This window comes from Homo sapiens, chromosome 11, assembly GCF_000001405.40.
Source record: "Homo sapiens chromosome 11, GRCh38.p14 Primary Assembly".
NCBI classification, from domain to species: domain Eukaryota; kingdom Metazoa; phylum Chordata; class Mammalia; order Primates; family Hominidae; genus Homo; species Homo sapiens.
Genome location: NC_000011.10, coordinates 35,050,032 through 35,067,223, shown reverse-complemented (window position 1 = coordinate 35,067,223; position 17,192 = coordinate 35,050,032). Strand labels below are relative to the sequence as shown.

The following is a 17,192-nucleotide window of genomic DNA, read 5'->3' as shown; positions in this document are numbered from 1 at the left end:
GTGTTTATCTCTGAGCAGATAAACACAAGCCCATTCTGTACTAGATCAGGAGAGAGAATGTTGGTTCAAATCTAAGATGCAGAGCAGATTGGTTAAGGACTAAGTTAGTTGATCATTTCCTAAGACAAGACTAGGACTAGCAGCAAAGGTGGTATGGATACTATCAAGATGAGAGGAGAAGTGGACAAACTGAAAACTAGTTCAAGGTCTAACTTTACAAACATGACCTACCCACTGTGGCATCCCTCTTACGCTTAGCCTGATGTGCTTTGGTAGAGGAAGCACCACCCATATGAGTCTGCATTTGCCAAAGGTGCCTTAGAAGAAAGGGAAAGAACTGGAACAGGTCAGCAAGTCCCATGCTAATGGGACTCATGTCAAGCTGGGTCAAGTTGGGGTGTAGATCTCTCATTGAGAGCTAAAGCATGGCGCTAAAATAAGGGAAAGCAGAGACATAGAAAACAATCAAATCTGAAGAAACCAGAGGATGGAGATGGAGGCTGTAGAACAAGGTGGGAATGGAAGCTGGTGGAGAACAATAAGGTAAGGACCTGATCAAATCCCTCAACCATCAGGGGTTGCTGCTGGTTTGGATCTGTGGACAAGTAGGACTATAAATGTGGCTTGATCTGGTGGGACAGTTTAAAATACCAGGAACAGGAAAAAAAAAAGATATACTTTGCAGACCACCTTTCTACCCTAACATAGGAAAGCTTTAGTTTCTCTTTCTTATCCTGGTTTACCCAAGAATGAACTTAATGGTTCCATGAAAAGGATATGTACAGTTTCTGTTGATCTAAAATCAAGTCAGGTTTAGATGAAGTCTCTAAAGAGCCTTTGTCACACTTAGAACTCCAACCATGTGAGGTCAGACTGGGGAGGCTAGGGGAAGGCAACTAGGGTTTACAGGTCTCTCTAAAATATGATCACTTACCCTTTCCTCACCATGCAGAGCCTTAGTTACCAAAGAGTAGGAAAATGGCCACGTGTCTGGGTTGCCACAGAAGAGGATTTGTGGCTTGAATCCTATTAAGAGGAACTGAGAAGTCATAAGCCTATGGTATAGATTTCATTCTCTTAGTCCAGGGAAAACAATTTAAGAAGGGCAAGTATCAACCTCCATGCCTTTATTTGGACCTCCCAACATCTCTTTCAAGTAGATGACATGATCCACTTCTCCCCAAACAAGTGCCTAATAATGAGCTTTAGACCATTCTCTCAGGTACAATGTCACAAAGACCTCCTCAGACATGGAAAAGGGGATGGGGCAAGGAGAGAACAGCTGTTCTGTAGACAACCAGTAGTGCCTGTTGCTGGGGCGATTGGGCTGTCTTTTTGATTTATTTCCCGAATAGAGGCAAACTCACATCATTTGAAAGGCATCTTAGGAGATGAAATCTGCCTCCATGAGATCATGGATATTGTTGATGTCCTAGCTCAGGAGTAAGCAATTCCATTTTAAACTCTTGCTGTGATGTGACTCTCCAAAAAACATTTCCTAAGTTACATGTAAAAGCAAGTCATTAAAAAAATGCAGCTTGCTTTTATTTCTATGTTTAGCCTGCAGTTCATCAAACCTCACCCTCTGGGCTAGCAGCCCGCAAATATCTCATAGCACTTACTAAAGTGTGTAATGATTTGATGAATTTGTTTATTTCTCTGCCTCTCCCTCCACCTTTACTGTAAGATTCATCTGTCTTGTTCACCATTCTATCTGAAGCATGTAGCACCAAACCTAGCCATAGTAGTCATTCAATAAAAAGGCTGAATGAATAAGGGAATGAATGAAAATTTTGGATTGGTAAATTGCAAGGCCTCTCTTTAGAGCAGAAGAGACACCTAGCACTAGCAACATCTTTACCAAATTTTTATTGAACACAAAGGACTATTTTTAATGCTTGCCCCTGTAGGTCCTGCTGAGGATCCCTGGTGCCCAGTAGGGAACACCGTGAGGAGGAGGATTAAGAAAGGCACCCTTTCCACTGATTTGCATCGCCATTTGTACATGGAGTTTGGCTACAGCAAAATCCGTTGCTATCTCACCAGCTACAAGAAGCAAAGAACGAATTGCAATTCATTTTTGTGCTCTAGGACCCGGTTGAGGGTAAGAGAAAAGAAGTCTTGTCTTTCCAATTCTCCAGGGATCTCAAACTCCTCATTTTTTATTGCTGTGTACCAAGCTCCCAGAGGTGACTTAAAATGAGCTCCATCCTGAAACAGATGAAACACTGGCTGCATAAGTACTGCCCCAGCGTTAAGATGTGTGGTCTTTGGACCACTTTTCCTCCTGGGCAGAAAAGCAGAGTAGAGTCCTAGTGAATGTGAGAGGATGAAAGAATGGGAGGGCTTCAGAAAGGTACTAGCCAATCAAGGCTCTGATGATCATGGAATAGTTATATCTGTTCAGAAAGAAGGAAAAAGGGATCAAGCTGAGAGTAGGAGGGCATGGGTAGGGAAACCAAGTGTATGGAAGAATCCTTTAAAAGAATGACAACGAAGGTGGGGAAATGAGTGAGTATCTGGACAGCAAGCCGGGGGACCAGAAAGTTGAGTACAGTAAATGCTATCTCTGCTACTGTTGTTTCTCCAGCTTCTCTGCTCTTCCGTGAGTGCTTTCTGTGGCTGGGATTCCCTCAGGTGAGTCCTGGGGAGCCTGAGTGGTGACACGAAAGCTGAGGAAGGGAGAAAACTGGGAGGTATTTCAAGAGCTTCTCCCCCCACGCTCTTGCTTCATTTCCTCCTGCAATCTAGTTTCAGGACTAAAGATCCACTGAGGAAAAAGATTCAGATTGCCGTCTTCCAGGGCCCCAGACAGCCAATTTTTCTCTTTGCACAAACCATAAGATCCTGTATGGTTTTTATTAACCTCCCAGCAGGGGCCCTGCTCATTTGATGATTCATTATAAGGGGAATGGAAATCGTTAGAAAAGATTTTCAGCTAATGGGTAAAATGTGTGGGGCAGCTCCTAGCCAGGCTGCTGCTGCCTCAGAGTTCACTTTCTTTCGGTGGTCAGTCTCTAGCTCAGTGTGGAAAGGACACCCTGCTTGCCTAGAGACCAGGCTCTCTTCTGGGGAGCAGAATACCCTGGGCTGGACTAGCATGAGCAGGCTGAGGGTGCTTGGAGAGCCAGTAGAGGCATGAAGACGCTTATCTTCTAGGTTGCTAGTTCAAATCTCAACTGAGCTGAGGACAGGGAGAGGAGATGTTCACTGAGGATGTTTGCTTGTTTCCCTCACAGAATGGTTGGTCTCCAGTGAGGATCAATTTCCAGGACATGGTGTTGCCTCATTTATCCTCACACGTTAAGGAATCAGCTATCTGGGACAAGGCAAAATGGGGTCAATTCCTTCACCATGAGGATATTCTCTTCCTGCAGCATAAGCAGGATTTAGGGCAGGGCTGATCTCAGAGGACCAAGGCCCGGATGACTTCTCTTTTCTGTCTATATCCTCTCCCAAGGTGATCTCATCCAATCCCATGGCTTTAAACACCAACACCCAAATTTATATCTTCAGTCCCGACTTCTGCTTTTCAACTTCAGCTTCATTATCTACAATTGCCTCCTTGTCATCTCCATTTGGATATCTAAACATGTGCAAACAGCCTTCCGGAACCTTCTACTCACACCTATTCTACCCATATCTCAAGAACGTCCTTCTTCTAGTTGCTCAGGCCAAAAACCTCGACTCCTCCATTTGTCTCACAACCCACCTCCAAAGTGAATCATTTGTCAGTACCATGAAACATGTCCAGCTCTCTGCCATCTCCACTGCTATCCCCTGGTCCAAGGCACTGCCGTCTAGCCTTTGTCACTGTCATGGCTTCCTAGCTGGTCTTCTTGCTTCTGCCCCACCTGTCTTCTGTCTATTCACACCCAGCAACCTGGGTGACTCTTAACACTTAGGTCAGGTCATGTCACTCTTCCCATTCACAACCCTCCAGCACCTCCCGTCTAATGCAAAGGAAAAGCCAAAGTCCTTACAGTGGCCACAGAGGCTCTGATGATCTGCCCTGGCCCTTCCCTGTCTGACTTCATCTCCCACGGCTCTCAGCTTTGCTTTTTCCCCTTCTGCCACTCTGACCTCCTAGCTATTCTCACCTCAGTTTCCCTCCACGGGAGTTCCCTCCCAGATATTCATGTGGTCACTCCGTCTTTTCCTTCAGGTCCCTTGCCTTTAGGTGAGACCTTCCCTGACCATCCTCCATACAACAGCAAAATCATACCTCTGGAACTGGTCATCCCATCACTGCAGCATAAAGAATTCTCTGTGGCATTCCCTCATCGTTCATGTATGCTTTTATTCTTTTATGTGATGGTCAGTCAGGTGTGGCCATAAGAGGAGACGCAAGAGAGGTTCAGGGAAACAAAGTTTATTTACTCACAGGTCCTAGAGACAGGAGACACACCACTCCATGGAGAACCACATGGGGAAGGCCTGGGGCAGTCAGGAGGCAGAGGATGGAAGAAAGGGAAATGCATTAGGCCAGAGCCTTTTGGGGGCTTTCCATGGGAAAGGCAAGCAAGGGGGGTAAACTGTTCAGAATTGGCTGGTTTGACTCTTTCCAGCAGGCTTTAAACTCTAGGGGTGGTGCCTAGTTGCCTGATACCTGGCTCTGGGATGATTAAGGCAGATGGATATTGCCTCTTGGGGAGACATGGGCAAAATCAATGAGCTATAGCTCTGGATTCATTAGTTTGCATATCAAAAGCTTATGCCAGATGAGCATTTTGCTACCTCTTAAGAATCAGCTAGGCCTAGGAGGGACAGTCTCTCCCCAGCCAGAACAGTTTTTAAAGATGTCAAAGCATCATAATATACAAAGTTAAAAATACTTACAATACAGTGTATTCTCCATCTCTACCACAATGTAAGTTCCATGAGAACAGGGACTTTTTCTGTTTTGTTCACTGTTCTATCTGCAGTGCCTAGAATAGTGCCTGAGATACAATAGTTGCTTAATAAATATTTGTCAAGTGAATGAATGAATGAATGAATGAATGGATTTCTAATCTCCCCCCACCCTCTGATCCCAGGAGCACTATTGTTTCTGGAGCCACCATTTCAGCTTCCTTAAAAATAAAGGAAGGCAGGGCACGGTTTGATAGTTTTATTTGAAGGCAGAGCTTTTAATGACGTTATAAGGACAACATTAACCTTAAAAAACATCTATCAAGATCCATTAATTTTTTTTTCCATTTTGCCTGACTCATTTGATGAGAACAACAAGTTCACATGCAGTGAGGAAATCAGATTTAGGAAGGGTGTCAGAAGCAGGGCGGGAGAAACATTTTATTGTTTACTGAAATACGGATCACCCTCTCCTGTTTCATTTTATTAGATAAATCTTTTTTTCTTTTCTTTTTTAAAGTAGAGAATACATACAGAAAAGTCCACAAACCTTAAGTGAATTACTGATGAATTGTTGCAAAGTAAACACACCCATAGAAACACCACTCAAGTCAACAAATAGAACATTGTCAACACCCAGAGCACTCCCTGTGCCCCTTATGGAATCAGATGACATGTATTCTTCTGTAACTAGCTTCTTTCATTCTACATGATATTTATGAGATTCATCAATGTCATGCGTAGCAGTGGTTAATTTATTTTCATTGTGTACAGTATACCATTTTATGAATATACCACAGTTTATCTGTTCTATTCTTGATGAACTTTTGGTTGTTTCTATCTGGGGCTCTTATGAATAACGCTGCAATGAATATTTTTGTGCATGTCTTTGATGAACACAAGCTCTCATTTCTGACAGATAGATACCAGGAATGGATTTGAAAGGTTTTGTACAGACTACATTTAGGTTTAGTAGATATGCCAAACTTCTCCCTAAATGATTGTTTTATTCTAAGTTCTCACCAATGAGAGTTCCAGTTGTTCCACATTCTTACCACCATGTAGTATCATCTGAAATTTTAATTATTTTCATCATTGTGGGTGTATAGTGATACCTCAATATGATTTTCATTTGTATTTCCCTGATGACTAGTGAGATTGAGCACCTTTACACGTGTTCATTGGCCATTCTATTTCTATGAGGTGCCTGCTCAAGTCTTTTGCCTGATTTATTTTCAATTAGGCTGCCTGTCTCCTTTTTTTTTTTTTTTTTTTGTAGAATTCTTTAATTTCTTAATTTTTAAATTAGAGATGGGGTCTCACTATGTTGACTAGACTGGTATCAAACTCCTGAGCCCAAGTGATCATCTCACCTTAGCTTCTCAAAGTACTGGGATTACAGGTGTGAGCCATTTTGCCTGGACTAAGAGTTCTTTATATATTCTGAATGTGAATCATCTATCACTTATATGTACAGTGAATCTCTTTTCTCCCTCTATGACATCTTTTAAAACATCTTCTTAATGGTATCTTTTGATGAACCAACATTTTTAATTTTATGAAATTTAATGTATAAATATTCTTCTTTATAATTAGTACTTTTTTTGTGTCCTTTTTAATAGTATTTGCCTACCCTTAGGCCAAGAAGCTATTCACCTCTATTAGCTTCTAGAAGCTTTCATGTTTAAAGCTACAGACCAAATAAAATTGATTTTTTTTTTTTTTTTGGTATGGTGTGAGACAGGGGTTGCGTTTCATTCTTATTTCCACTCAGATATCCATTTGACTTAGCACCACCTATTGATTAAGACCTACTACTCTGAGGTGCCACCTTTTTCATAAATTAAGTGCTTGTATATGGCATGAGTCTGTTTCTGGGCTCTCTATTCTGTTCCATTGTTGCATTGTTCTTTGTTTGTTGTGCTGATGCCACATGGTCTTCATTACTGTAGCTTTACAATAGATCTTGATGTGTGGTCAAGTACATCCTCCAACTTTGTTCTTCTTTGATGTGAGCTTAGCTATCCTTGGCTCTTTTTTTCACTACCTTACTTTTACGTAGGATAGAAAGCATTTTTTTTTCTTTTTGAGACAGAGTTTCACTCTTGTTGCCCAGGCTGGAGGGCAATGGCAGGATCTCAGCTCACCGCAACAAATGCCTCCCGGATTCAAGCAATTCTCCTGCCTCAGCCTCCTGAGTAGCTGGAATTACAGATGCCTGCCACAATGCCCAGCTAATTTTTGTATTGGTAATAGAGATAGAGTTTCACCATATTGGTCAGGCTGGTCTTGACCACTCCTGACTCCTGACCTCAGGTGATCCGCCTGCCTCGACTACCCAAAGTGCGAAGATTACAGGCGTGTGCCACTACACCTGGCAGAAAGCATCTTTAAAGGTAAAGTGTCTTCTCATTTTGAGGTGCCCTCACATCCACCTAGACTGCCATCTCTGGACATCATAAAGTCATATCCCCACACTTCGTTCTACAAGTGGCCCCTAGCATAGGCCTCACTGCCATTCCAGGCAGTGCCTGGTACCTGGTTCTTCTCATCCTCCCTGCTTTATCTCCACTGGCACTTTCCTGTGTGCAGCAGATTTATGCACCACAATACTCTGCAAGTTTCAGCTACTAATACTACCTCTAGTATTTCTAATAATAAATAAAATGTATTGTGTTCTGACTGTGTCAGGCATTGTGATTAGTGCTGTGCCTGAATTACCTTATTTAATCCTGACTACCACCCTAGGAAGTAAATACCTTTTGCCTGCCCCTTAAGGATTTACACTATCCTCTCAAGTATCCTGATTTCCCCACTCATTTTTTTTCCTTCTCTGTTAGTTTCAATGTTTCCATAGAATATAGCTTTTCTGAGCTAGAAAGGACCTGAGAGACATTTGATTTGACAAATGAGGAAATGAATGCCCAGAGAGAGGATGGATTTACCTCAGGCCTCCTCACCTCATGATTGGCAGAAAAAGGATTAGAATTCAGGTCTCTTGACTACAGGACAATGTGCTTCTCTCACACACATTTCCCAGGTTCAGCACCCGGCAAACAGACTAGTCTCCTCCTACCCAATTTACTTCCTTCCTGTTTCCATTTAAATTTCTTCAGTCTTGTCTATGATGATAGCTACTTCCACTTCCTCAACTTCTGTTCTCTCTTTGACCTCTCCAATCTTACTTCCTCACTGCAACTGCTCTCACTGAGACCACCCATGACTTTCATGTCACACAGCCCTGTGGCCTCCCCTCTCTCTCATCTTCCTTAACCTCTCAGCTAGCCTCGACCCACGTGATTGTTCCCCTCTTTTTTTTTTATTATACTTTAAGTTCTAGGGTACATGTGCCTCACAAACATGGTTGAAGGTGATTGGGGAGCAAAGTAACATCTTACATAGTGTCAGGCAAGAGAGCTTGTGCAGGGGAACTCTCATTTATAAAACCATCAGATCTCGTGAGACTTATTCACTACCATGAGAACAGTATAGGGAAACCACCACCACAATTCAATTATCTCCACCTGGTCTCAACCTTGCCATGTGGGGATTATTACAATTCAAGATGATATTTGGGTGGGAATACAGCCAAACCATACTGATAGCTCCAATCCTGACTTTGCTCTTGAGTTCTAGGCTTTGAACTTCTTACTCGATATCTTTGTTTGGATGTTGTTGTAACTGGGTTTTCTATAGAACAAAGCCTGAAGCAAGAATTAAGGTGCCAACAGTTTAACTGAGAGGTGCAAGTTCAAGGTATTGCATGTAGGAGTAAAAGGGAAGGGAGGTCAGGGAAGGTACATAATACATGTATTGTGACATGATGAATGATATGATGTGGTAAGCCACATTACCATTTTGGCTACCACTTCACAGGGAGCTGCAAAGAGACCCAGCAGGTCACTTGGAATTTGTGTTCACTCAGCATGTGGGACTTCTTCAGAAGAGTTACTGGAAGATATTGAGAAGGGAATGAAGAATGTAGCTGGCTGGCTCCATTTTGGATCCCATTGTCCTTTGGGATTTACCCTTGAAGAGCTAACTGTATACTTCCAGTATGCATAATCATTATCATAATATTTATTCCTTTACTATGCATGAAGCCACCTTGTTGTGTGATGTTTTATTCAAGTCTGAAAGTGAAAAAGTGACCCAGAGCTGATAGAGGCTTGGCCAGGAGAGAGAGAAAGAATGAGGCTATATAATGTTTGTGGCTCAATGCAGATGTCTATTAGACATTTCAAACTGAACATGACTAAACAGAACTCAACTTCCTTCTCCCAGCTGAACTGATTTCCTCCTCCCTCATAGTGTTTCTCATCTCAGAAAATGGCACCCTTTTCTCCATTGCTGAACCTGGGTCAATAGAACTATCAACTCGGGAGGAAGCCCCTGAAATAGCCTGTGAGCCAGTCCCCTCATTACCTTCTTGTTTCCTTTCTACGTATTTGTCACATAAAAAGAGTGAACTTTTATTTTTATTTTTTTAAGACAGGGTCTCCCTCTTCACCCAGGCTGGAGTACACTGGCGCATTCACAGTTCACTATAGTCTCAACCTTCCAGGCTCAAGTGATCCTCCCACCTCAGCCTCCTAAGAAGTTGGGACTATAGGCATGTGCCACCATGACTGGCTAATTTTTGGATTTTTAGTAGAGACAGGGTTTTGCCATGTTGCCCAGGCTGGTCTCAAACTCCTGGGCTCAAGTGATCCATCTGCCTTGGCCTCCCAAAGTGCTGGGATTACAGGCATGAGCTATAACTTGGGGCCAAGAGTGACCTTTTAAAAGGAATGCAGGAATGTTCTCTTTAGCTTTGGTGCTCTGTCCCATCATGTAGCCCTGAAATCAAATCACTAACTAAGAAAGGCTTTCCCTGACTCCACTATTGAAAAAGCCTTCCCTCCCATGACACTCTGCATTACCCTGTTTTATTTCATTCTTAGTACTTACCACTCTCTGAAATTCCCTTTTTATGTATGTGTAATGTATTGTCTCTCTCTCCCACTATAATGTAAGCTCCATTTAGGTACAGAGGGTCTATTATCTGTCTCCCTGTATCCACAGCACCTAGTATAGTCCTGGGTACATAGGAGGGCCTCTATAAGTGTTTGCTGAATGAATGAGTGATAGGATGAACTGTAGGTGAACTGAGGGATTAACTGTGTGGCAGGGAATATATATGTTTGCCTGAATTTTCATCTGGTTAGGTCGTTCTACAACTAAATTGAGAGCAGGGAATATGGGCAAATTGAAGGGTATTATTTAGGTCCTGCTAGAGTTCAAAGTGAGCTTAGGGATCAGTTAACAGCCTTTCTCCTGCCCCCAGTTTTTAAAATTAGACTTTTAAAATTGAGATAATTATAGATTCACATCTAATTTAAGAAATCATATAGGAATTCCTTATACTCTTCTCCAGTTTCCCCTAGTGGTGTATCTGGTAAAAAAAAAAAAAAAAAAAAAAAAAAAAGATGTAATATCACAACCAGGATGTTGACATTGATACAATAAAATACAGTGCATTCCTTCACTGTAAGGATTCTTCATGTTTTCTTTTTATAGCCACACACACCTCCCTCCTGACACCACCTCCTTAACCCCTGACAAGTCCTAACCTGTTCTTCAGTTCTACTATTTTCTTATTTCAAAAACCTCATGTAACTGTTTGAGATTGGCCTTTTTCACTTAGCACAATTCTCTGGAGATTCACGCAAGTGGTTGCATGCATCAATAATTCATTCCTTCTTATTAATGAGTAGTATTCCATAGTATGAATCTGTCACAGCTTGTTTAAGCATTTGCCCATTGAAGGACATATGAGTCATTTCCAGGTCTTGGCTATTTTGAATAAAGCTGCTATACATATTCAAGCACAGGCTTTGTGTAAATATAAATTTTTATTTTTCTGGGATAAATGACTAAAAACAACCCAACCATTGTTGGGTTGTATATTTATTTAAGAAACTGCATATTGATTTATAGGGTGGTTGTACCATTTTATACTCCCACCAGCAATATTTAAATGATCCAGCTTCGACACATGCTCACCACATTTGGAAAAATCGAGGAGTGTTATTTAGATCCTGCCGGAGTTCCAGGTGAGTTTGGGGATTCCTTAACAGCCTTTCTTTTCCCCCAACTTTTAAAAAAGACTGATGTTCCATCCCTAGTTTGGCTCAGATGGCAGATTACATTAACGATAAAAGCCAACCACCATCTAGATAAAACAGTCCACCAAGCCAAGTCCACCATTTTCCTTTAGGACAACAAGAAAGGAAACTCATACACTTTCTGAACTTCCTAGTTAACTGTAAATAATGTCAGAAAAGATGAACCATGCTTTGAGGTTTTTGAGGAGAGTATGTGGCAGGACTCAGGCCGAGACCTTGATAAACCATAGGATACCACACAGGCCAAATCAGGCAGGGAGGAGACACCTTGTATCAGTCCATTCTCATGCTGCTATGAAGAAATGCCCAAGACAGGGTAATTTATAAAGGAAAGAATTTCAATTGACTCACAGCTCCGCAGGGCTGGGGAGGCCTCAGGAAACTTAACACTCACGGTGGAAGGAAGAGCAAACATGTCCTTCTTCACATGGCAGCAGCAAGAAGGAGTACAGAGTGAAGCCAGCGGGGAAGCCCCTTATGAACTCATTCATTATCACAAGAACAGCATGGAGGCAACCGCCCCCATGATTCGATTACCTCCCACCGGGTCCCTTCCATGAAGGGGGATTATGGGAACTACAATTCAAGATGAGATTCAGGTGGTGACACAGCCAGACCATATCACACCTTGACCATGTTTTTTATAAACTCCTGGTAGAAGGACTTTGCAGATGGAAGTGGCAACAGCAGAAATGCATGTCTGAATGTATATTACCTTCCCTGAGCCCAACCCGGATTAAAGGCTGCTTCTAAGAGGGAAAAACTTAGTTTTAATGTTTGGAACTGGGGTCATCCTGGAATTTTCTTTTTTGAGGGGCTTCAGAAGACAAAATAGAGAGGGAGAAAAATCTGTCTTCAGCTCCTTTCATGGTGGCCCACAGTGTCTTAGCCTTGTTTCTACTTTCTCTGGGTGTCTAGCTTCTCTGGAGCCCTCCCTCTCTTCCTCAGCCTTGCCCTTCTCTCATCTTCTCAAAGTCATCTGTTTTCCAACACCTTAATGATTACTATTTTATTTAACATATACTTATATAGTGATTGCTATTTCCCAGGTATTGTCTTATGGTTTTATAAATATGAGCTTCATTAAAACTTATAACAATCCTATGAGGTAGAAATTATTAATTTCCCAATTTCACTGATGAGGGAACTTAGGTGCAGAGAATTCAGGGATCTTGCTCATAAGTGGCAAAGATGAGATTCAAAATCCAGGCAATTGCTCCAGAATCCATGCTCTTAATCACTACGGTATGATGACTTTCTATGACTGACAAATGTGCTTTAAAACAGCAGTCCCCAACCTTTTTAGCACTAAAGACTTGTTTTGTGGAAGACAATTTTTCCATGGAGCAGGGGCAGGGATGGTTTTGGGATGATTCAAGCACATTACATTTATTGTGTACTTTATTTTTATTATTGTTTCATTGTAATATATAATGAAATAAGTTCACTCATGATTTGGCTCTCTGTCTGTTGTTGGTGTATAAGAATGCTTGTGATTTTTGTACATTGATTTTGTATCCTGAGACTTTGCTGAAGTTGCTTATCAGCTGAAGGAGATTTTGGACTGAGACAATGGGGTTTTCTAGATATACAATCATGTCGTCTGCAAACAGGGACAATTTGACTTCCTCTTTTCCTAATCGAATACCCTTTATTTCCTTCTCCTGCCTAATTGCCCTGGCCAGAACTTCCAACACTATGTTGAATAGGAGTGGTGAGAGAGGGCATCTCTGTCTTGTACCAGTTTTCAAAGGGAATGCTTCCAGGTTTTGCCCATTCAGTATGATATTGGCTGTGGGTTTGTCATAGATAGCTCTTATTATTTTGAGATACGTCCCATCAATACCTAATTTATTGAGAGTTTTTAGCATGAAGGGTTGTTGAATTTTGTCAAAGGCCTTTTCGGCATCTATTGAGATAATCATGTGGTTTTTGTCTTTGGCTCTGTTTATATGCTGGATTACATTTATTGATTTGCGTATATTGAACCAGCCTTGCATCCCAGGGATGAAGCCCACTTGATCATGGTGGATAAGCTTTTTGATGTGCTGCTGGATTCGGTTTGCCAGTATTTTATTGAGGATTTTTGCATCAATGTTCATCAAGGATATTGGTCTAAAATTCTCTTTTTTGGTTTTGTCTCTGCCAGGCTTTGGTATCAGAATGATGCTGGCCTCATAAAATGAGTTAGGGAGGATTCCCTCTTTTTCTATTGATTGGAATAGTTTCAGAAGGAATGGTACCAGTTCCTCCTTGTACCTCTGGTAGAATTCGGCTGTGAATCCATCTGGTCCTGGACTCTTTTTGGTTGGTAAGCTATTGATTATTGCCACAATTTCAGATCCTGTTATTGGTCTATTCAGAGATTCAACTTCTTCCTGGTTTAGTCTTGGGAGAGTGTATGTGTCGAGGAATTTATCCATTTCTTCTAGATTTTCTAGTTTATTTGCGTAGAGGTGTTTGTAGTATTCTCTGATGGTAGTTTGTATTTCTGTGGGATCGGTGGTGATATCCCCTTTATCATTTTTTATTTTATAATGAAATAATTATACAACTCACCATAATGTAGAATCAGTGGGAGCTCTGAGCTTGTTTTTCTGCAACTAGACAGTTCCATCTCGGGGTGTTGGGAGACAGTGACAGGTTATCAGGTATTAGGTTCCCATAAGGAGCACGCAACCTAGATCCCTCACACACACAGGTTGAAATAGGGTTGGCATTCCTATGAGAATCTAATGCCACCACTGATCTGACAGGAGGCAGAGCTCAGATGGTAATGTGAGCAAGGAGGAACAGCTGTAAATACAGACGAAGCTTCAGTCGGTCACCCAGGGGTTTGGGACCCCTGCTTTAAACTATTCTGTTTCTCAAGGCCTTTGGTATTTTGGAAAGGCAAAAAGCCTTCCGCTGAAAGAATGAAACATTTGGGACTTCAGATGGCAAATGACAGGTCTATCTGGGGCCACCCCTGCCTTCCAGGTGCCCATCATCCATATCATATCCTATCACCCAGGCTGAGGGTTGCCCAGGACACCCTCACAGAAGAATTTAGTGCATATAGCAGCTCTATCTTGTGCAGGTTATTTCGAAGAAATGCAACTGACATTTAGGAAATGGAATTACTATGTGCCAGAGATTGTGCTAGGAGGTGTACTTGTGCTATATCATCATCCATGTAGGGCAGATAGTATTAAGTCTCTCTTAAATAAATTAGGAAATCGAAGGATCAAGTGGTAAATGGGTAGGTAATTAACATAAGTCACACAACTTGAAATGGCAGTCCCAGGTCTGCCTGAACCCAACACTTGGTCTCTTTTTACAACACAAACTTGATTATAGAAAGGTTAGAGCTTCTAGTTTTGTGTTCTTTATTTTTAGTCACAATGCCAGTTTTGGCAAATGACAAGGTAAGAATAGAACCTTCCATTTCCTTGCCCATGAATCAGTTACTCCCCCAGATTTTTTCATTTTAGACCATGGCTCTACCACTAGCCTAGGGGCCCAAATAAAAAACTCAAGACTTGGCCTTTCCTTCTCCCTTACCCTGTCTTCTGTTTTTGCAGTTTATCATCAAGTTATGTCAATGCTATCTCCAAAGTACATTATGAGCCCATCTATTTCTGTGCATCCCCACCAGCAGACCCGAGTCCAAGCCTCATCATCCATTGCCCAAACTACATCAACAGTGCCTTCCTCTTCACGCCTCGTCCACCCTACAATTTATCTTCATAAGATGTGTATGCTTTTCTTAAGATGTGCATTGGATGTTGTCCCTTTGTTTTTAAGAGTTTTCCAGCTGGATTTGATGTCACTTTCCCATGCTGTCACTAATCCCCAGCCACAACAGAATGGGTCACACTCTTCTGCACTTTGGACCCTTTGCCCATGCCAGAGTTATCCGCTGACCCTCTTCCCATGGCTGTCACCTCTTCAAAAAGGTCCACTGAACCTGAAGTAGATGTCCTCCCTCTATTAAGATTCAACGTATCAAATCCACCCTTTCAAAGTCTTAGACTAGCACCTGGCATACAGTAAGTACTCAATTAATGTCAGCTTTTGTTTTTGTTTTGACCGTCGTTATAGTGAATATTCTAAAAATACATGCCTAGGTGATTAGATAAATGGAGCAGGGAAGAGAAATCACATCAATATCTGGGCCCCCAGGGCTTCTAAGAGAGGCAGCTTAGATATATTTTAAGGAGAAACAGTTTAGGCTTCTAAATCCTCCTTCCTGCCTTAAAAATAAATGTTATTGGTATGATTGTCACATAGACAAGTACTATGTGCATAATGGAGGCATGTTTTACAATAGTAGTATAAGATGTATTTTAAAAAATACAAGAACACTTAAACTATATTTTTAAAAGCAGTGTTCAGACCTGTCTGATTGATTTTCCTAAACAGGTTTTGCCCCAGCTCTTGCAGATCCTCATCAAGTTTTTTCTGACTTAGCAACAAATATCTAAAATAAAGTTTATCTTTTCAATTTCCAGTCTCCTTGCTGACAAAAAAGGAAATGACTTCTGAAGACATGAAAAAAAAAAAACAGGGTGAAGACAAATTGGGTTAGAATAACCCATGACCTAGATCATTAGACTTTGACTAATGAAGAACTGCCTTTTAACAGAGTTAAAATTGACAGCACCATGGCCTCACACCCAACAGGGTTTGAGGCTGGACCCTTCTTTGACAAACGATGCCCTGATTTACGCGCAAAAATACCCATCACAGCATTATTTATAATATTCCCTGTCCAATGCTGGGGACCTAGTTCAATTAGCTATAGAACAGCCATTTGATGAAATATTATAAAGCTATTAAAATAATAGGGGCAAAGAAATTTTAAAACATGGGGAAAGCCTTGATGTTGTAATATTAAATGAATGAAGGAATTCTATGAATGAAACTCATTAAAACATGTCTTCACAGTAGCTGCATTGATTGCACATTTACTATCGTTCAGGCATCTTTTCCAAATGTGATACAGGAGGGCAAGCTTGGAAACAAGACGGGAACCTCTTGATCCATGGCACAATGCTGTCGACCCCTAAGTTCTTCCTCTTTATCTAAACCCAGGTTTGGAAGTACACCAAAATATTAATACTATACATCATTGCAAGCTTTCCTTCTTTGATCCTCTGTATTTTGTAAATGTTCCAACACCTTTTAAAATACACTTTTGTTCTCCTTTAAAGTCTCCCTGAGAGCTTCTAGAAGGCAGCTGCTGTGGGCTCACATCATCCATCCTTCCCCCCGCAAATGTGTAAATAAAGAAACACCTCTGTGCCTTTAAATTATAACAGGCTAAACTTTCCCCTGTAAGTTGATACTCAGACCAGAAGTCTGTGGGTAGGAAGAGTGTTGTGTTTTTTTGTTGCAGCTTCTTTTGGCTGATAAACTAGCACTTAAGTGTTTCCCTTTTCCAAACCCCCAAATGACAAGTATCTTTGTGGTAAAGTGATGGCCCAACTGTCATGGCCATCATAAACGGTGCTGAGGACACTTATTTTTAGTTTACTGTCTAAGGAAGCACTAGGCTTGCTAACCAGAGACCTTGGGGCCCAAACCCCTATGATCCCCAGAACGGAGCTTTTAAAGAGAAAGAAAGGTGAGGCAACCAAAGCTCTTCGGCGGAGCGCAAGCTCCTTTTCTCCAGATGGGCCAGAAAGACAAGGCAGAGATCTTACTTTTGGTGAGAAGACTGTAATCCTCATTTTACATAGTATAATTTTACCAAAGATGCTATGAAACAGAAACATGTTGATTCTATTTAAATAAATGTAAACTCTGGCAGCCTTGGGGAGCCATTACAGCAATGAGGCTGATGACAAGAAACAGAAACACTTCTGCAGACATCTGTTCCTGTGGTCTCCTCAGCAACCTTTTCTCCCATCAGCTAACACAGCTTCATTATTTCACTGAGGAGCTGCTATTCTCTTTGGCATTCACTTTTAAAGCAAGGTGCCTCACCTTCCCTTGGTCAAGTAATTGGCATGTTACCAAGTGCATTAATTCGTTTTCATGCTGCTGATAAAAGCATACCAGAGACTGGGAAGAAAAAGAGGCTTAATTAGACTTACAGTTCCACATGGCTGGGGAGGCCTGAGAATCGTGGCGGAAGGTGAAAGGCACTTCTTACATGGCAGCAGCAAGAGAAAATGAGGAAGAAGCAAA

At 41.6% G+C, this 17,192-nt stretch overlaps 1 long non-coding RNA gene across 3 annotated transcripts in view; it reads left to right on the top strand.

The window, feature by feature from the left end:
- The first annotated feature begins 32 nt into the window (after nucleotides 1–32).
- Nucleotides 33–17,192, top strand: part of LOC105376626 (uncharacterized) — a 59,489-nt gene continuing 42,329 nt past the window's right edge. For all 3 annotated transcript variants that reach the window (XR_001748180.2, XR_007062653.1, XR_007062654.1), the window contains exons 1-2: nucleotides 33–543; nucleotides 1,911–2,104. This is a non-coding gene — a long non-coding RNA (uncharacterized LOC105376626). The remainder of the gene's footprint in view (nucleotides 544–1,910; nucleotides 2,105–17,192) is intronic.